At 40.0% G+C, this 22,370-nt stretch overlaps 1 protein-coding gene and 1 long non-coding RNA gene across 3 annotated transcripts in view; one reads left to right on the top strand and one right to left on the bottom strand.

Moving 5' to 3' along the window:
• Nucleotides 1-22,370, bottom strand: part of JAM3 (junctional adhesion molecule 3) — an 82,930-nt gene that overhangs the window by 47,700 nt on the left and 12,860 nt on the right. The gene's annotated exons all lie outside the window — the stretch shown is intronic.
• On the top strand, nt 9,617-16,173 carry LOC124902797 (uncharacterized). Its single transcript, XR_007062960.1, has 2 exons — nt 9,617-9,773; nt 9,954-16,173. It is a non-coding gene; the product is annotated as an uncharacterized LOC124902797 (long non-coding RNA).

The raw sequence follows: 22,370 nt of genomic DNA, 5'->3' as shown, positions 1-22,370 counted from the left end.
CAAATAACATCTTTATTTCTGCCTTCATTTTGTTATGTACCCAGTAGTCATTCAGGAGCAGGTTGTTCAGTTTCCATGTAGTCAAGTGGTTTTGAGTGAGTTTCTTAATCCTGAGTTCTAGTTTGATTGCACTGTGGTCTGAGACAAGTTTGTTATAATTTCTGTTATTTTACATTTGCTGAGGAGTGCTTTACTTCCAAGTATGTGGTCAATTTTGGAATAAGTGCGATGTGATGCTGAGAAGAATGTATATTCTGTTGATTTGGGGTGGAGAGTTCTGTAGATGTCTATTATGTCCGCTTGGTGCAGAGCTGAGTTCAATTCCTGGATATCCTTGTTAACTTTGTCTCGTTGATCTGTCTAATGTTGACAGTGGGGTGTTAAAGTCTCCCATTATTATTGTGTGGGAGTCTAAGTCTCTTTGTAGGTCCCTAAGGACTTGCTTTATGAATCTGGGTGCTCCTGTATTGAGTGCATATATATTTAGGATAGTTAGCTATTCTTGTTGAATTGATCCCTTTACCATTATGTAATGGCCTTGTCTCTTTTCATCTTTGTTGGTTTAAAGTCTGTTTTATCAGAGACTAGGATTGCAACCCCTGCCTTTTTTTTGTTTTCCACTTGCTTGGTAGATCTTTCTCCATCCCTTTATTTTAAGCCTATGTGTGTCTCCGCACATGATATGGGTCTCCTGAATACAGCACACTGATGGGTCTTGACTCTTTATCCAATTTGCCAGACTGTGTCTTTTAATTGGAGCATTTAGCCCATTTACATTTAAGGTTAATATTGTTATGTGTGAATTTGATCCTGTCATTATGATGTTAGCTGGTTATTTTACTCATTAGTTGATGCAGTTTCTTCCTAGCATCGATGGTCTTTACAATTTGGCATGTTTTTGCAGTGGCTGGTACTGGTTGTTCCTTTCCATGTTTAGTGCTTCCTTCAGGAGCTCTTGTAGGGCAGGCCTGGTGGTGACAAAATCTCTCAGCATTTGCTTGTCTCTAAAGGATTTTATTTCTCCTTCACTTATGAAGCTTAGTTTGGCTGGATATGAAATTCTGGGTTGAAAATTCTTTTCTTTAAGAATGTTGAATATTGGCCCCCACTCTCTTCTGGTTTGCGGAGTTTCTGCCGAGAAATCCACTGTTAGTCTGATGGGCTTCACTTTGTGGATAACCTGACCTTTCTCTCTGGCTGCCCTTAACATTTTTTCCTTCATTTCAACTTTGGTGAATCTGGCAATTATGTGTCTTGGAGTTGCTCTTCTCGAGGAGTATCTTTGTGGCATTGTCTGTATTTCCTGAATTTGAATGTTGGCCTGCCTTGCTAGGTTGGGGAAGTTCTCCTGGATAATATCCTGCAGAGTGTTTTCCAACTTGGTTCCATTCTCCCCATCACTTTCAGGTACACCAATCAGACATAGATTTGGTCTTTTCACATAGTCCCATATTTCTTGGAGGTTGTGTTTGTTTCTTTTTACTTTTTTCTCTAAACTTCTCTTCTCGCTTCATTTCATTCATTTGATCTTCAATCACTGATACCCTTTCTTCCAGTTGATTGAATCAGCTACTAAAGCTTGTGCATTCGTCACGTAGTTCTCATGCCATGGTTTTCAGCTCCATCAGGTCATTTAAGGACTTCTCTACACTGGTTACTCTAGTTAGCCATTTGTCTAATCTTTTTTCAAGGTTTTTAGCTTCTTTGCGATGGGTTCGAACTTCCTCCTTTAGCTCGGAGAAGTCTGATTCTCTGAAGCCTTCTTCTCTCAACTCATCAAAGTCATTCTGTGTCCAGCTTTGTTCCGTTGCTGGTGAGGAGCTGCGGTCCTTTGGAGGGGGAGAAGCGCTCTGATTTTTAGAATTTTCAGCTTTTCTGCTCTGTTTTTTCCCCATCTTTGTGGTTTTATCTACCTTTGGTCCTCGATGATGGTGACATACAGATGGGGTTTTGGTGTGGATGTCCTTTCTGTTTGTTAGTTTTCCTTCTAACAGTCAGGACCCTCAGCTGCAAGTCTGTTGGAGTTTGCTGGAGGTCCACTCCAGACCCTGTTTGCCTGGGTTATCAGCAGCGGAGGCTGCAGGACAGCGAATACTGCTGAACTGTCTGGGTTTTATATGAACTCCATCCCTTACCATGCTACGTTGGGTATGTTACTGTGCCTCAGTTTTCTCATCTATGAAATGTCTAAATTAGTGCCTACTTCGTAAGGTGGCTGAGATAATTAAATAGGTTACTATAATTTTTACAGACAGGGTCTCACTTTGTCACCCAGGCTGGATTGCAGTGGCATGATCACAACTCCCTGTAGCCTCAAACTCCTGTGCTCAAGCAATTCTCCCACCTCAGACTCTTGGGAATACAGATGTGTACCCCACACCTAATTTTTAAATTTTTTGTAAAAATGCGGTCTTGCTATCTTGCCCAAGCTAGTCTCAAACTCCTGACCTCAGGCAATCCTCTCACCTCAGCCCCCCAAAATACTAGGATTACAGGCATGAGCTTATAAATGAGTTATCACACATAAAGGACTTATAAATTCCTGGCACATAGCTAGCACTCGATAAAAACTGGAGGAAAAAGAATAAATAAGGGGAGAAATATGATCAGATTTGTTTTTAAGATGATAAAAGGCAATACTTGTGGTAGTAGAGTATTATACCAAAAGAACACTATCATTACAAAGGCACAAAGGTTACTCTATTTTCTAGTGGACACTTTTTGGTATTAGAGCAATAGTATTATCAACAGGAATGCCTTAGCTAAACTCACAATAGAAACTTAAGCCTGGAGACATGCTTAGATTCCAGATACCCTGACTCACAGCTCTGTGTTCTCTCCACTAGGATGGAAAGAACACTCCACCTCAGTTCTCATCTCACTTCTTTGCTACCACTCTTTGAATAAATATTCTGGTCTTCTGCATTTCAAATGACTCTACTTATAGTTAAATAGCTGTCCTCCTTGAAAAGATTCAGTGTTTCCCAGAGCACAGCAATTATTATAGAACTGGGTTAAAACCCACATTTAAATTCAAACTTCAATGACAGTACCATTCTATAAATGTTAACACATTAATTTGCCATTACAATTAAGCAATATGTATGAAGTTCATAACTCAAGTATCACTGTTAAACTGCTCCTGGTTGTTTCTGTTTGAAGATGGGTAAGAACAGAGAAGAAATGTTCACAGTGCTTACACTGTTACCCCATGCTGGCTGTTTAGAATGGGGCAATATCTTCCTGAGTTACAAGGAGCACCAGGCACAGCAACATGTATCCTGGCTGACCACTTATACCGAGAATGGTTTATTGAAAGAAGACATAAACATCACTGTGATTTCAGGAAATTAACTTTAGTTAACTTTACTTCATTCACTTTTTTACTCAAAAAATATTTACTTTAAAACTAAGTGTTTGTCTAGTAAGGAAGCAGTATAATATAGTGGTTAAGAGCTGAAACTCTAGAACATCTGAGTTTGAAGTCTATCTCTACTGCTTATCAAGTGTTTCTGGCTTGGATGTTCACCAATCTTTCTGTTTTCTCATCCATACGATGGGGATAATTATAATACCTTTCTCCTCCAGTTGTAAGAGTAAGAGAGCATACGTAAAGTGCTGAGTACAGGACCTGACGCAGAGAATGCATTCACATGGTATCAGCCACTATTAGAGAACTGCTTTCTAGGTGCTGAGATTTCAGTGGTGTACAGACCCAAGGATGCCCTCAAGGAGCTCACTAGCAGTTGGGAAACAGGACTCAGATATATAAATACAGTGGTAACTCAAAAGTGGTCTTAAAGAGAAGGAGAGTCTAATTAGGGATTTTAAAAATCTGCTATAACCCATTCAATTTTTAGCTCCCCAAGGGATTTTCCTCACCATCTGGGCCATCAATGCAAGCGAGTTTGAAAAGCCCTCATAATTTTCCTATATCACACCTCCTCCTCAGCAAGAAAGGCTCTGTGGGTGGAAAGCAGCAAAGAACACTGTATGTTATGCAGAAAGCAATCGTTCCTCAGAAGACACAGGGCTCTGCAGAGCAGATGAGCCACAGAAACTTGTTTGGATCAGAAAAATGGGATCATTTCACTGAAGACCTAGAGATAGGAACTGACCACTATTTTTTTTTTAAGGAGGAAAGGGGGATTCACCTCAAAGTACTTTTCTAATCAGAAACAGAATTTGAGAAGAATTTAACATCTTAATTAAAGATATAATGTCACTCTCCCATGTCATGAGATTTAACTTTCATCAAAGGAGAGGTCTAACATTAAAGTCAGAAGTGACTTAAAAAATAGCACACATTGACTTAAAAGTATATTTTGGGTGACATTATTGGAAAATCTCCACTGAGCAAAGCAGAAAATGATGAGGTTAGAAAAATAAAGGAAGCAAGCCGGGCGCGGTGGCTCACGCCTGTAATCCCAGCACTTTGGGAGGCCAAGGCAGGCGGATGACGAGGTCTGGAGTTCGAGACCAGCCTGACCAACATGGTGAAACCCCGTCTCTACTAAAAATTCAAAAATTAGCCAGGCGTGGTGGCGCACACCTGTAATCCCAGCTACTCAGGAGGCTGAGGCAGAAGAATTGCTTGAGACCAAGAGGTGGAGGTTGCAGTGACCCAAGATCGCACCATTGCACTCCAGCCTGGGCGGGTGACAGAGCGAGATTCTGTCCCTAAATAAATAAACAAATAAATAGAAAAATACAGGAGGCAAAGGGCAGAAATCTTGAAAGAAACATAAAAATCAAGTACAGCACAACTTGCCTTACAAATGCAGTACAGTTAATTACAGATGACAAATACTGTCTTATCCTCAATACCACCATCAGAGAGAGGGCGAGACAGTGAGAAAAGGATCTAAATGGGTCCCTCAAATCCCCTTCTAAGTAGTGAGGAGTAGGAGAGAAAAAGAAAATGAAGCAAATAGAAACAGATTTCACCCAACTTGTTGGGACAACTCTGAAATCTGTTCCTGGGCCTGCCTTTCCCAGGCCAAGAGCTGCTTGCCCAGGCTTTTCCCTGAAACCTTCATTTTACAATTACCTCATTCCTCCCCCATGCAACCTGGTAGTATTATTTTTATTTTTATTTTTTGAAATAGGGTCTCACCCTGTCACTGAGGCTGGAGTACAGTGGCATGATCACAGCTCACTGCAGCCTCGAAACCCCAGGCTCAGGTAATCCTCCCACTTCAGCCTCCCAAGCATACAAGGACTACAGGCATGCACCACCACACATGGCTAATTTTTGTATTTTTTGCAGAGATGGGATTTCATCATATTTCCCAGGCTGGTCTTGAACTCCTGGGCTCAAGCAATCTGCCCACCTTGGCCTCCCAAGGTGCTGGGACTACAGGTGGTGAGCCACCACGCCTCTCCCTAGTTGCATTTAAATGAAGGCTTTCTGGAGACTGGTGTAACCCAAAGGTCTTTCTCTAGGCTGGAGTATCAGTGTGAATGTTAGTGGGAAACATGCTAGCTGAAGGAGTGCTTACTGAGCTATCCCTCACAAGTATCAGCAGGTGGAGCTCCACCTGCAAGCTAGCTCTGAAATCACCCTTAGGAAGTGCAGTATACCTCAAAATCAGGCCCAGAAAAAGAAGATACAATGCTGCTATTTGTCTAATTCATGAGTTCAGTGTACTTTGACAATGTCCTTGTTATGATGCAACAAGGATTTCTCTCTGCCATTTTAGCTAAGGCGAACATATAAGGAAGACAACTGACCCAACTACAGAGAATGAGTATCTATACTTGCCCCGACACTAATGGTTCTGACTTTAGATACATACTATTTCTACCTGGCACAGGTAGAAATAGTCTTGCTGTCCTTCACAATTGATTAAAACTAATTTTGCAAATCCCAAATTATCTCACGTGAACTTTCTAATGAGGTACATTTGGTTTTGATTATTGTGCTTTTTCCAAGAACTAGCTTTTTTTAAATTAAAAGACCTCTTTCAAAACAGAAGATTTCAGTTAATTTGGCATTGCTCTTAGTTTTCCTCTCTGAAGTTGAACTTTTGTGTCCACTCCTTCCCTAAAAAGCAGTCCATTTGTAAACTAAGTTTTCTGGATATAGGTGAGCTATATACATATGCATGCACAGTAAAAGGAATGGCTAGCTCTTCTTCCCCTGGAGAGCAGAGCTTGGGTGACACTTTAGCACGATGCCCTGGGTATACACTCAATCAATACTGACTAGGCCCAGGAGATGGATCTGATCCACATTTTTAGGGGAACTAAGCAGAAAAGGAGATGTTTCCTGCGTGCTTCATAAAGTATATAGGTTTTTCACTGACTGAAAATGATTAGAATATAGTCCTCACAATTTTATAAGCACTAAATTTTCAAGAACTGAAGGGCCAGAGTCCTTAATGTCATAAACTCAATATCTTACAGTGCAAAGTGTGTGTATATAAATATATATATACATATATATAAAAGAAAATTAAGAATAGACTTTAAATTTAAAAATCTGAAGATCACTCTTTTAAACTACTTTCCATGATCTGTAGAATTTATAAAGTGGCAACTTGTAATATAAAAATAAATCAAGAAAACATTATCCTGAAGTAAACATTATTTGGTCAGAAATACAGCAATTGTTAGTTTAAATGAAACATAATTTTAAATTGTTTTTAATGCTTTGCAACTTGAATTTTCCATTCCCTATAATGCCTCCCTTCTCCATTAGTAGAAAAAAACCGAGAGCTGACTACACAACCAGAAGTCAGCCTGCTCCTCAAACCCAGTATCAATAAGATGTGAGAAGAAATGTCCCTGCCAAAGACATTAAGTTGCATCACTAATGCTCCAAAGAGGTTCATCAAATGATTCCAGAGGTACTTGCGAATTTCACCGAATCTCAAATGAAGGAGTCAATACAACCTGTTCCTGAGCAAGTGCTGTAGAAGAGTGGCCAGCTGGGATTAATCTGTAGGCAAGGCGCCCTGAAATGCAGAACAGCAACCACAGACACTAAACACTGTTTCCAAAATTTGCCAACTTTCCTAGTACTCACTTAAGAAATTCCCTCTTAGAAATTGTTTCTAAGGAAAGTTCAAACTATTGAGGGAAGAGGATGGTAAAGAGTAATCAAAACACATTCACTATTGCCATTCCTCTCTCATGGTGTTTCCCCTCACCCTAAGCAGCTTGATGGGATGCGGGGGATGGGGTGTGGAGGGGACAAGAAAAAGGCTTTTCTGTATTATATATGACAAAGGGACTTCTGGAGGGCAGTGACTACATTCCAGCCCTCTTCCACAACCCCAAAACACACCACCACTGCACTCTCTCTGGGTAGTCCCCTAACAGTTCTACAAAGTGCCACATGTTAGCAAAATGTGGGCATACAGCTAATATTTAATGGTAATAATAAACCAAATTAAAGATACTAGATTTGCTAGATTTGGTGAATTATGAGAAAGCACAAACTGAGGAGTCCTTTATTAACTGGTACAGCATAGGTAAAGAATAATTCTGGCCAGTATCTACCCAAGGAAAGAAGAATCCAATCGTGTTCATTACTCATTAACTGAGCACACACCCCAATACAACAAAGAAGTCAGTTCAAAGCAAACCATAGCTGGAAACGTCAAAAGAAAACCATTCCTTGCTTGCAGGAAGGGAAAATGCAGAACTAGCTTTTAGATAATAGAAATGAGACTTCAGAGACTGCCTTTCCTTGGGTGAAGAGCAGGTGATTAGAGTCCCTAGTAAACATCTGCCCAAACAACTGGCCCCTGGATTTGAGAAGAAATTAAAATAGAGGAAATAACATAACATAATAAAACACTACTATGTACTGGCTATGAAGTACGATAAAGTGAAAGAAAGAACATACAAGCCCTTGCCTTATTGTTTGTCTCAACCAGATCCATGGTGCCAATCCAGACCCAGGCCTTCTGGATGGAAGTGAACAGACCAAGAAGATGATCAGAGAATCCAAACCCTTACCTATTTATACTAAACTGAAAGCTCACTCCAAGGATGTCAGTTCATTACATAAATGCCTTCTACACGGGCTGGGTGTGGTGGCTCACGCCTGTAATCCCAGGCCGAGGCAGGAGGATCACTTGAAGCCAGGAGTTCGAGACCAGAGACTGGGCAACATGGAGAAACCCCGTCTCTACTAAAAATACAAAACTCAGGCAGGTGTAGTGGCGCGCACCTGTCATCCCAGCTACTTGGGAGGATGAGGCATGAGAATCACCTGAACCCAGGAGGTGGAGGTTGCAATGGGCCAAGATCGCACTACTGCACTCTAGCCTGGGTGAGAGTAAGGCTCCATCTCAAAAAAACAAATAAATAAATAAAATGCATGGCAACTGACATCATGTACATCAACATTTGAGACACAGTGGGTTAGAGGGCTGTATGTGTCCACTGAGTGTTTGCAAGTCAAGGACAAAAACATTTAGAAACCTGTCTGAATCTTAGATGACAACATTTAAGATGTTTGTTATGTTTAAGATGTCTGGTATACTCAGTTTCTTCCTAAGATGGCGAAAAAGTAGCCCCTATTTAGTAAGTGGTCATGTAGCAAGTTAACAGCACACTCGTAACTGAGTACTTCCGTAGTGCTTTAACCTAGACTCTTTTGTTTCTATTTGATTTGCTTGATTTTGTATTTAATATTAGAACAAATCTTTTTTTTTTTTTTGACAGAGTCTCATTCTGTCGCCAGGCTGGAGTGCAGTGGCGCGATCTCGGCTCACTACAACCTCCGACTCCCAGGTTCAAGTGATTCTCCTGCCTGAGCCTCCTGAATAGTTGGGATTATAGGCATGTGCCACCACAACCAGTTAATTTTTTGTATTTTTAGTAGAAATGGGGTTTCACCATGTTGGCCAGGATGGTCTCGATCTCCTGACCTCGTGATCTGCCTGCCTCAGCCTCCCAAAGTGCTGGGATTATAGGCGTGAGCCACTGCGCTGGGCCTATTAGAACAAATCTTAGTCAAAAGACTTCATGTGCCAATAAAAAAAAAAGAGTTTTCCATATTTGCATTAGTACATGCAAACAGATCTTTAGAAGGTATTCCTAACAGGTGTATTTCTTCATTTAGACTGCACCATTCTGTTACAAAACCTATTTTCAGTAAGTGGGGAAACAATGCTGGTTTACTTTCTCTCTTCGAACTTTTCTGCCTCTCACATTTGTTTGACAGACCTAATGCTGACAGTTTTCTAAGATTCATTACTGAAATTTAACTAAATTTAACACAGCACATGAAGAAAAGAACCCAATATTACACTTTCATTCACTACATTAGACTTTCAGAATTCACTACCAAGCATATCTTTTAACATACGTGTTACATATGAAGGAAGCAGACTGCTGCCTATTTCCTCATTTATTAATATATTCAGTCATTTATTCAACAAATGTCGAACATTATTGAGCATCTAGCACGTACTATATTTGGGCCAAGAAATGCAGTGAACAATTCCTACTGTCATGGTCCCTGCCTTCTAATAATACACAAATAAACAACACACACAAACAACATTCTAATTCTACATATATAATTAATTGCAATTGCAATAAATACTATAAAAGTATAGGGGCCACGAAAGTGTATAATGGGGGTGTGAATCTGAGAGATCAGGAGATGCTTCCCTCAGGAAGTGACATTTAAGGTGGAACATGATGAATAAGGAGGGTTCAGGAGAAGCTTCCCTCAGGAAGTGACATGTAAGGTGGAACATGATGAATAAGGAGGGCTCAGGAGAAGCTTCCCTCAGGAAGTGACATGTAAGGTGGAACATGATGAATAAGGAGGGTTCAGGAGAAGTTTCCCTCAGGAAGTCACATGTAAGGTGGAACATGATGAATAAGGAGGGTTCAGGAGAAGCTTTCCTCAGGAAGTCACATTTAAGGTGGAACATGATGAATAAGGAGGGTTCAGGAGAAGCTTCCCTCAGGAAGTGACATGTAAGATGGAACATGATGAATAAGATGTAAGGTGGAACATGATGAATAAGGAGGGTTCAGGAGAAGCTTCCCTCAGGAAGTGACGTTTAAGGTGGAACATGATGAATAAGGAGGGTTCAGGAGAAGCTTCCCTCAGGAAGTGACATGTAAGGTGGAACATGATGAATAAGGAGGGTTCAGGAGAAGTTTCCCTCAGGAAGTGACATGTAAGGTGGAACATGATGAATAAGGAGGGTTCAGGAGAAGCTTCCCTCAGGAAGTGACGTTTAAGGTGGAACATGATGAATAAGGAGGGTTCAGGAGAAGCTTCCCTCAGGAAGTGACATGTAAGGTGGAACATGATGAATAAGGAGGGTTCAGGAGAAGCTTTCCTCAGGAAGTGACATTTAAGGTGGAACATGATGAATAAGGAGGGTTCAGGAGAAGCTTCCCTCAGGAAGTGACATGTAAGGTGGAACATGATGAATAAGGAGGGTTCAGGAGAAGCTTCCCTCAGGAAGTGACATGTAAGATGGAACATGATGAATAAGATGTAAGGTGGAACATGATGAATAAGGAGGGTTCAGGAGAAGCTTCCCTCAGGAAGTGACGTGTAAGGTGGAACATGATGAATAAGGAGGGTTCAGGAGAAGCTTCCCTCAGGAAGTGACATGTAAGGTGGAACATGATGAATAAGGAGGGCTCAGGAGAAGCTTCCCTCAGGAAGTGACATGTAAGATGGAACATGACGAATAAGATGTAAGGTGGAACATGATGAATAAGGAGGGTTCAGGACACGCTTCCCTCAGGAAGTGACATGTAAGGTGGAACATGATGAATAAGGAGGGCTCAGGAGAAGCTTCCCTCAGGGAGTGACATGTAAGATGGAACATGATGAATAAGATGTAAGGTGGAACATGACGAATAAGGAGGTTTCAGGAGAAGCTTCCCTCAGGGAGTGACATGTAAGATGGAACATGATGAATAAGATGTAAGGTGGAACATGAATAAGGAGGGCTCAGGAGAAGCTTCCCTCAGGGAGTGACATGTAAGATGGAACAAGATGAATAAGATGTAAGGTGGAACATGACGAATAAGGAGGTTTCAGGAGAAGCTTCCCTCAGGAAGTGACATGTAAGACGGAACATGATGAATAAGATGTAAGGTGGAACATGATGAATAAGGAGGGTTCAGGAGAAGCTTCCCTCAGGAAGTGACATGTAAGATAGAACATGATGAATAAAGAGGGCTCAGGAGAAGCTTCCCTCAGGAAGTGACATGTAAGATGGAACATGACGAATAAGATGTAAGGTGGAACATGATGAATAAGGAGGGTTCAGGAGAAGCTTCCCTCAGGAAGTGACATGTAAGGTGGAACATGATGAATAAGGAGGGCTGAGGAGAAGCTTCTCTCAGGGAGTGACATGTAAGATGGAACATGATGAATAAGATGTAAGGTGGAACATGATGAATAAGGAGGGTTCAGGAGAAGCTTCCCTCAGGAAGTGACATGTAAGGTGGAACATGATGAATAAGGAGGGCTCAGGAGAAGCTTCCCTCAGGAAGTGACATGTAAGATGGAACATGATGAATAAGATGTAAGGTGGAACATGATGAATAAGGAGGGTTCAGGAGACGCTTCCCTCAGGAAGTGACATGTAAGGTGGAACATGATGAATAAGGAGGGCTCAGGAGAAGCTTCCCTCAGGAAGTGACATGTAAGATGGAACATGATGAATAAGATGTAAGGTGGAACATGATGAATAAGGAGGGTTCAGGAGAAGCTTCCCTCAGGAAGTGACATGTAAGATGGAAAATGATGAATAAGATGTAAGGTGGAACATGATGAATAAAGAGGGCTCAGGAGAAGCTTCCCTCAGGAAGTGACGTTTAAGGTGGAACATGATGAATAAGGAGGGTTCAGGAGAAGCTTCCCTCAGGAAGTGACGTTTAAGGTGGAACATGATGAATAAGGAGGGTTCAGGAGAAGCTTCCCTCAGGAAGTGACGTTTAAGGTGGAACATGATGAATAAGGAGGGTTCAGGAGAAGCTTCCCTCAGGAAGTGACGTTTAAGGTGGAACATGATGAATAAGGAGGGCTCCGCCAGGCAACAAGGTGGCTGCAGAGCGCATCACACACAACGGGCAGCACACGCAACAGCTCTGGGCATGTGTGGGAAAATGAAAGTGAGCCAAGGGAGCAGAACTACACTGAGCAAGAGGCCACTGCAGGGAGGGAAAATCAGAGCAGTCATAAGAAGCTCAAGGCTTTCGGCTTTGCACCAAGAGCAACAGAAAGCCCCTAAAGAATTCTGCGAAAGGGGATGAAAAGAGTAGTATACTTAATTATATTTAGAGTACGAACTCAATTATTTTTTAAAATGTACAGAAATGACTAGAAGTAGATATATTACAAATACTGAATTGTTGCAATACTGCCCTGATAGTAAGATTATAAATATTTTTATGCACACTTTTCAAGCTTCCCAAATTTATACTATCCATAAATTCCTACAGTTAAAGAAAAAAAAAAAAAAACCCACACCCCCAAACACAGCACTGGAGTAGCTCCCTTCTTCCCTTGCCTCAGGCAACTTTTCCATCCATTGCACACATTTATTTGCATGATACATCCTTGATCCAGACTTAGTCGGCTATAAATTCTAAGTGATAACTTGTCTCTGCCCCTCCACTTCACCCACTACCAAAGCTGTAACTCAGATGACAACAATTTTTTTTTTTTTTGACACGGGGTTTTACTCTGTCACCCAAGCTGGAGTGCAGTGACACAATCGTAGCTCACTGTAGCCTCTAACTTCTGGGCTTACCATGCCTATCTATCTATCTATCTATCCATCTATCTATCTATTTATTTAGAGATGGAGTCTTGCTCTGTCACCCAGGTTGGAGTGCAGTGGGACGATCTCGGCTCACTGCAACCTCCACCTCCCAGGTTCTGGGAAGCGATTCTCCTGCCTCAGCCTCCTGAGTAGCTGGGACTACAGGCGCGTGCCACCACACCTGGCTAATTTTTTTAATTTTTAGTAGAGACAGGGTTTCACAGTGTTAGCCAGTATGGTCTCAATCTCCTGACCTCATGATCCACCCACCTCGGCCTCCCAAAGTGCTGAGATTACAGGCATGAGCCACCACGCCCAGCCCTTATTTTTATTTTTTATAGAGATGGGGGTCTCACTGTGTTGCCCAGGCTGGTCCTCAGATGACCACTTTTAACTGTGGTTCAGTTCTAAGCCAATCCACAGTGTCTCTCAGTTCCATCACATTTCAAATGGAAAATACCACTGACACTATTGATGCCCAATGAAAAGAATGAACCCTGTAGGAATCTTAGCCAGCCAATACATTAGCTTAAGGTAGTTTACAATGTACTTAACAGGAGGAATAGAAAAACAGCAAGTAAACCTAACCATGGTGCATAGTTACTCTAAATGTCTGTCTTCATTTGCAAACTCAAGTTTGGGACTTGAAATTCTTTCATATTGTGTATGTATACATGTTCAGAATCTTATTACATAACAAGTCAATTATACCTGAGTTCAAATATTTCAATAGATTTTTTTTTAATCATCTTACCTTCAAAGCAAAGCATTTCAGGTTTCCAACACTTTAGTAGTTTGGAGTTTTCAAAAGATAGACAACTTTGTTACATGGCTGTCCGAGAAAAGATTCTGCTAACCAGACAACACTGAAATCTAGAAATGTTCTCAGCAAAGAGCTTGAAAGCACTCCAGGATCCAGATGTTCAGGCTACTAACCCTAACTTTAAAGCACAGCATTTACTTAATAGTTTGAAGCTTTCCTACCTATCATTCAGTTTATTTTCTGACAACTACTTTTACTCAGCTTGTTTGTTCTCATCTAGTTTTCCTTTTGTATATCTTCTCCTTCATGTTCCCAAGCGAAATGTGAATTTCCATATATTGAAAAAAACCCTAGAAGAAAACCTAGGCAATACCATTCAGCACATAGGCATGGGCAAGGACTTCATGTCTAAAACACCAAAAGCAATGGCAACAAAAGCTAAAATTGACAAATGGGATCTAATTAAACTAAAGAGCTTCTGCACAGCAAAAGAAACTACCATCACAGTGAACAGGCAACCTACAGAATGGGAGAAAATTTTTGCAATCTACTCATCTGACAAAGGGCTAATATCCAGAATCTACAATGAACTCCAACAAAAAAGAAAAAAACAAACAACCCCATCAAAAAGTGGGCAAAGGACATGAACAGACACTTCTCAAAAGAAGACATTTATGCAGCCAAAAGACACATGAAAAAATGCTCATCATCACTGGCCATCAGACAAATGCAAATCAAAACCACAGTGAGATACCATCTCACACCAGTTAGAATGGCGATCATTAAAAAGTCAGGAAACAACAGGTGCTGGAGAGGATGTGGAGAAATAGGAACATTTTTACACTGTTGGTGGGACTGTAAACTAGTTCAATCATTGTGGAAGTCAGTGTGGCGATTCCTCAGGGATCTAGAACTAGAAATACCATTTGACCCAGCCATCCCATTACTGGGTATATACCCAAAGGATTATAAATCATGCTGCTATAAAGACACATGCACACGTATGTTTACTGCGACACTATTCACAATAGCAAAGACTTGGAACCAACCCAAATGTCCACCAATGATAGACTGGATTAAGAAAATGTGGCACATATACATCATGGAATACTATGCAGCCATAAAAAATGATGAGTTCATGTCCTTTGTGGGGACATGGATGAAGCTGGAAACCATCATTCTCAGCAAACTATCACAAGGACAAAAAACCAAACACCACATGTTCTCACTCATAGGTGGGAATTGAACAATGAGAACACAGGGACACAGGAAGGGGAACATCAAACACCGGGGCCTGTTGTGGGGTACAGGGATGGGGGGATAGCATTTGGAGATATATCTAATGTTAAATGACGAGTTACTGGGTGCAGCACACCAACATGGCACATGTATACATATGTAACTAACCTGCATGCTGTGCACATGTACCCTAAAACTTAAAGTATAATAAAAAAAAGAAAAAGAAAACCTAGGATATGATAATGAAACATCAGATATGGAATTAAACAACCAAACAAAATATCCTAAGTGCTGCTTAGTATGTGTGCAGAATTTGCCTTTATTAAAAACCACGAACTGGAAAGTATATAAAGAAAGAATGGGAGACACAAGGAGGTTCAGCATACACCTAAGGCAGCATGTTGATTTATTTGATAAACAGACATTCAATTCGAGATCCTCTAGTGCTCTTCACTAGCATGGAATTCCATAGTTCTCAATGTCCCACAGATCATATCCAACTTACAATCACCTATATGGCTTATAATGGTGAACTGACACCTCCCAAACCATCCATTCCGACTGCCCTTAATAAATGTTGCCCAACGTGGTGGCAAGTGCCTGTAGTCCCAGCTACTTGGGAAGCTGAGGCAGGAGAATCGCTTGAACCTGGGAGGCGGAGGTTGCAGTGAGCTGAGATTGCTCCACTGCACTCCAGCAGGGGTGACAGAGTGAGACTCCATCTCAAAAAATAAACAAACACAGATGTGATATATATAAACCATAAGTAATTAGGTGTGTTAATGTGCAGACCAAGCCCAATTAAGTGACATTTTACTGTCTTTGTGGCAATGACATATTCACAAATCCGTGTCTTAAAACTGTTATTTATATATTGTTCTATTGCTAGTGATTTAATGTTCAGAGGTTAATGATTTTAGCAATTTATTCCAGAACACAAATTTAAATGCATCTTGTCATTAGAATTGGTTGTACAACTTAAGTATATAGAAAAGGATGTACATGTAAAATAGATTTTGTATTCCGTTTTTTCCTTAAAGAATATAACCTTCTATACTTGGTTTTCTACCTTTTGGGATTGATACAGATACAATGAAGCCAAACCTAAAATTTAAAAAAATAAAAAATAAAAAAAAAAATGTTGCCCAAGCATTTCGTAAGCATTTAAGGATAAGGAAAGCAATGCTTCTTTAGCAAGGTATGATAAGAGCTTCGGGGGTGGTAAAATGGAAGCAAGTGGGTAATACATCATTGGTAAATGTAGAGAATTTGTCAATTTTTGTTTTGGTGTCGAAATTTTAAACATATGCCACTGCTTTTGGAATGGAATGAAACTGTGAATTTAAGGGGAAAGCTGGATAAATGGGTTGGCAGTATATTAATAAAGTTGAGTTCTAGTCCTGGTCCCAGCACTTAACAGTGATGTATTCTAAAGCAGGCATTGAACATCCCTGGGCATCAGCTACCTCTTGCTGAATCCTGTCTTACAGCAGTGGTTCCCAACTGGGATACTGCCACCCATGGGGCATCTGGAAATGCCTGCAGTCATCTTTGGCTGCCATAACTGGGATATTGCCACTTGTATTTAGAGGCCAGAGATGTTACTAAACATCCTACAATGCACAAGACAGCCTCCATAACAAAAAATTATCCACTCCAAATATCAACAGTACCAAAGTTGATAAACACTGGTTTACAGAATACCTTTAAGCTCTAAGATTCTAGAACCTATATGTCCATGCGAATTAAGAGGGTTAGGTATTTGCTTTATGGGTAGAAAACTTAACATAAAGGGATTAAGTAACTTGCTGAGAGCATAGTGTAAATCCATGGCAAAACCTGGGTCCCCTGATCATCAGCCCAGTTACTGAGTGACTAGATTTGGCCTCTAAGACAGTTCTTTCTTCCAGAGAAGTCTAACACCAACAACCTGTATACGTAAGAAGAGAAAGGTTTTTAAAAAGTACCTTATATAGCTAGGTGTGTAACAAGGCAGAGTCCAAGATTTTGCTCTCCAATGAGTGCCACTAACTTTCAAGCAATAATAAATTCTTCCAGATTCTAAGGACTTCAACTAACACTTTCAAATGAATATGAATATAATCCACAAGAGAGAGGTGGGAGGTCATGATTTTATGTCCATAATGCTTTGTTTTAATGCCTAAGCATATGGTTTCTTTCAGCATTTCTTGAAAAATATATACTCTCTGATTCTTAAACAGAAATACTTTATTTGTTGATTTACAGTGTTTTCCTTTTCTTCCATACTCTTCCCTACTTTTTCCTAATATGCAAAAAAAGTGTGTGTGTGTGCGTGTGTGTGTATCTCCTTCATTGTAATACTTCATGGCACAATAATCTCAGGACATTACATTTCTGTTGCTTCATTTCACTAAGCGTGTTTGGGAAAAGACAATACTAAAATCTTGGCCAGGTGTGGTGGCTCACACCTGTAATCCCAGTACTCTGGGAGACTGAGGGAGGAGGATCGCTTGAGCCCATGGGTTTGAGACCAGCCTGGGCAACAAAGTGAGACCTCATCTCCACAAAAAATTAAAAAATTAGCTGGGCATGGTGGTACATCCCTGTGGTCCCAGCTACATGGAAAGTTGAGACAGAAGGATTGCTTGAACCCCAGGAGTTCAAGGCTGCAGCGAACCGTGTTCTCCAGCTTGGGAGACAGAGCAAGACCCCGCATCAAAAAACAAAACAACAACAACAACAAAAAAAACCACTCACACACTTTTTAAAACTTGAAATAAGAAAACCTCTTAGGTGGAAACAGCCTATGGAACATGGAGCCCTATCTATTTACGTGGCATTTTCTTGTCCTGAACTCATTCATTCTTAATAGCTATTTATTTAATAAGCTGTTTATTTTGTATGTAAACTCACTGATTTGTACTGGCAGTTCCTTTACTTAAAAATATGCTGGAATTTCCACTAAAACCTCTTATTATTCAAAGTTTCCTAGTTCAGGCATGAAAATTTCCCCTAGGCATAGGAGGTCTAATCTTTTCTACAAATATCACTGAACCACTTTTTAAATCCAAGAATGTCAAAGAGAAATTTTTCTTCTTTACTCATGAAACTTAAAACCAGATTTTTGTTTTCTTTAAAAAAAAAATCCAGGATACTCGTCTGTCCTCTAGATAAAATATTTTTCCAATATAGGAAAATAGATTTTAAAACTTGCTATCTCATCTAACTAAGCCATAAAGGGAGCTTTTTTAAGAGAAGGTTATTGTAAATTAGAATTGTAACCTATAGTTTTGAAGAACCAGAGGACTCATGATACTTCAGAACTCAGAAGGAATAAAGCAAAGCAGAGAATAACATTTTATATTTGCACAATATTTTATAACTTAAAATTCTGTTTACACACACAATCTTACTTGGTCCTTGTAATGATTCTGTAAAGTGGGAATTACAATCACCTCTCTACAGATTAATACGATAGGGCTCAAATATGTGAGGAGATTATTACAACCTCAAAACTACAAAGTATCAGCAATCAAAGCAGAACCCAGGTCTTCTAACTCCAAATTATTTTAAAATAAAGATAAAGAAACATACAAACTCATCCATGGCTTCTCATCTGTTAAGGCGATAATACGTTTGAACAGAAACACTTGTCAGCCCCTTCCAAAATAGCTAGTGAAGTACCTGCCCCACTCCCAAACCCACAACTAAAGAATAGAAACTCACCTCCTTACACTGTGATGTTCTCTTATCAATGAATATTTGTATGTATATGATGTTCCAAATATTACGCTACACAGAAGACAAGCTTCCCGTCCTCAAGTCGCAGACTACTTAGAGCCAAGATACACACAGAGGAAGTGCATATTGCCATTAAAGATTTAAATTAGTAGGTCAATACAACAACAAATGATATGATTCAAGGAAGACTATGACTGGGGTAGTCATAGTGGAGCCCCCAGTAGGAAAACAAACATAAAGTTATGAATATGAAATTAGGTACAAAGAATGTTTGTTAAGAATGAGAACAGAAATCACAAAAATATTACAAATTTTAAAAGCTGGCAACACAAAACAAAATTTAGAAAAATAACAATATGTTTATTAATTCCTTAGTCTCTATAATCTTTGCTACATATTTAGGATCTTTGATCACCTCATCATATGCCCATGATTTTGTAATCTGCCTAGGAAATAATAGTTAAGACTTCCCTTTAGCATGGTTAATTTTAAAATTTAATATTAATAGTTTGGAATGGTTTCTTTCTACTTCATAATTCATTATTGCAAATCATGCAGAGTTTTAAGGACCACTGTTAAATCTGGGGGCATTTCAAGTTTTCTTGTAGTTTGACTAATCCTAAATACCCTTTGACATGAGAAAACTCATAACCTGGTTTTTCAACCACATCCACACTGCCATGGCATTACAGGGGCTTACACTAGCATTCACGGTAGGCCCTACAAATTCGTGTTACAAACCTAGGTGAGTCAAATAAGATGGCAGAGTATTCCTGGCAGCCATTCCAATACTGAGATGCCCAGCAAGAACAACTACCCACAACAGTGGCTGTGGACCACCTAAGTGATCCCACTAACCCAAACTGAATATGTACCCAATTCAAGTTCCCTTGGCTGGGAAAAATGCCAGTGGCAATTTAGTAGTACCCAACATAAAGAGAAGTATGACAGAGGGAAGAAGAGTGGAAGAAGAGAACCATCTTAACTGACCGTAGCTAAAGCATCTTATTTTGAAAATTTGAGGACACACTGCTAGGTGAAATCCAGGGCCTTGTAAGTGGTTCCTTTGTAAGCGAGGGGCTCTAAAACTGGTTAGATGAGCTTCCCTTTAAATCTGCCTCTGAATAATTAAGAAGCAAATGAACTGCAACATAGTAGTAATGGAAGTACTGGCAGGAACAAGCACAGTTAGTAACAGCAAATCTCTCCCACTTATTGATGAAAAACAAAACCTAACACTGAGAGCTTACTACTATGACAGGTACTCTGCTAAGCACTTCACATGAATTAATTAATTTGACTGTATTAATTTTAATTTGTGTTATTTTTGTTACTTTTAGATGCTTTGATAGGAGCTTTATATATAGTCAGTATTTTGTAAAACAACCCCACAAAGCTACTTTACGCTATTACTACTCTTTTATAGATAAGGAAATTGACTTCAACAATCACATAGCGGAGATGAGATTCAAACCTCGGTCTAGCTATGCTCCTTCATGATAGGAATTCAGAAGAGGAAGAGATCACCTCAGTGAAGAGATCCATTAAAAAGGCTTTACAGATAGGTATATGAAGCTGGATGTTGGGGAATGAGTTAAGAGATGAACAGAAAGACAAGATCATGACCTGCATTTGAGGTAGACAGGCCATGATAACAAAAGAAGAAAAATGGCAATGCTCAGGGTTACTCAGAATACAGTGACAGAATAATTCTACAGAGCCAAAGACCATGCTACAAATCCTGTGATCCCCCAGTAGAAAAATGAATTAAAGTCTTATGACCAATTTTCTCCTTATTATGTAGCCATAAGCTTTCTTTTACATAGAAAAAAGAGAAAAAAAGGTAATATTTCTTTAGAGTCCAATTCCATCTCCCCAATTCTCTATGAAAGGGCAGATGCAAAGAACATGCAAAGAAGTGCCCCATTTCTGTCACCTGGAAAGCCAAATCCAGCGATTTCTGCCATGATGGTAAGGTGATTTCCACTGGACACTGAGGTTTTACCCCAAGCATGTCACATCCTTACTCCACTACAGAGGAGGTATAGAAAAGGACCCATCATGGAGGCTTAAAATCAGAGCCTCTAAACTCCAGCTAATTTTCTTCCTCAAGGTTTCATTAGAAGAGGTTTTTTGGTGTTTTTTTTTAATGTGAGCTAAAAGATGCTGTTCACACATTAGAATAATGACAACCAAAGTTTTAACAGATTTTACTTACTCTGCATGTAGGAAATGTACTTGACAAGAAACGCACACAGAGTAAAATCTGTGAGTTCAGGAGAGAGCAAAACAAAAACACTCCTCCTCAAAAAGTTACCTGACTCCAAACTCACTTGAAGGAATGTTTTTTGCAATTTGCAAACAGCATGTGGGATACTAGCCCCAGGGTAGTAAAGGAGAAAATATTTGTTCTGGCTTCCATAAAGTCCAAATCCCTCATCCAATGTTATAAAAACCTTCTCTCACCACTATTGCCTGTGTTGGAGAGAGAAAGAGTGAGGGAGAAATAGGGAAAGGGAGGGAGCGATCTGCTGTAAATGGACACCGGAGGTAGATGACAGAGGAATTCCACCCAATTCATCTCAGCATTTTGTCCTATTTTTCATATGCCTTAAGTCTGCACAAGCTGTACTAACAGGATGAAACACTGTGAAAATCACAGAAGTAAGCATCTCTAAAATTACATGCATAATCTGTTTTCAATTTAAATCAAAGTCTCATCTCTGACCTACCTCTAGAGAGTAACTTAAGCTGGAAATATACATAGAAAATGACCAGATGTTTGACACTAATAGTCATCATCCATAAAATAGAAAAGTCAGGCTTCAAGAGACTTCATGAAAAGAATAAATAAGAGAATAACATAATGCTTTTGCATACCACTCTTGAAGTTTACATGCAGTTAGCATCTATTTCAGCAGACACTCTAAAAATATGTGTCCTCTATAGGGATCCTGGCCCTAAAGCAGGCTTCTCAACCTGAGGTGGTGCATAAATGGTCTTCTGGGGGGGTTATAAATCCCCCAAAATAGTATATAAAACTTTTCATGTATATGCATTGTATTAGTCCATTTTCGTGCTGCTGATAAAGACATACCCGAGACTGGGCAATTTGCAAAAGAAATAGGTTTATCATAGTTACAGTTCCACATGGCTAGGAAGGCCTCATAACCATGGCAGAAGGTGAAAGGCATATCTCACACGGCGGCAGACAAGAGAAGAGCTTGTATAGGGAAACTTCCCTTTTTGAAACCATCAGATCTCATAAAACTGATTCACTATCATGAGAACAGCACAAGAAAGACCCACCCCATGATTCCATTATCTCCCATCGGTTCCCCCCCACATTACAAGGAAATTATGGGAGCTACAAGATGAGATTTGGGTGGGAACACAGAGCCAAACCATATCATTCCACCCCTGGCCCCTCCCAAATCTCATGTCCTCACATTTCAAAACCAATCATACCTTCCCAACAGTCCCCCAAAAGTTTAGCTCATTTCAGCATTAACTCAAAAGTCCACAGTCCAAAGTCTCATCTGAGACAAAGCAAGTCCCTTCTGCCTATGAACCTGTAAAATCAAAAGCAAGTTAGTTACTTCCCAGATACAATGTGGTATAGGCATTAGGTAAATAAAGCCATTCCAAATGGGAGAAATTGGCCAAGACAAAGGGGCTATAGGCCCCATGCAAGTCCGAAATCCAACAAGGCAGTCAAGTCTTAAAGCTCCAAAATGATTGGGAGAAATTGGCCAAGACAAAGGGGCGATAGGCCCCATGCAAGTCTGAAATCCAACAAGGCAGTCAAATCTTAAAGCTCCAAAATGATCTCCTTTGACTCCAAGTCTCATATCCAGGTCACACTGATAAAAGAGGTG

Source organism: Homo sapiens, chromosome 11, assembly GCF_000001405.40.
Source record: "Homo sapiens chromosome 11, GRCh38.p14 Primary Assembly".
In the NCBI taxonomy this organism is placed as follows: domain Eukaryota; kingdom Metazoa; phylum Chordata; class Mammalia; order Primates; family Hominidae; genus Homo; species Homo sapiens.
This window is presented reverse-complemented; position numbering and strand designations above follow the sequence as displayed.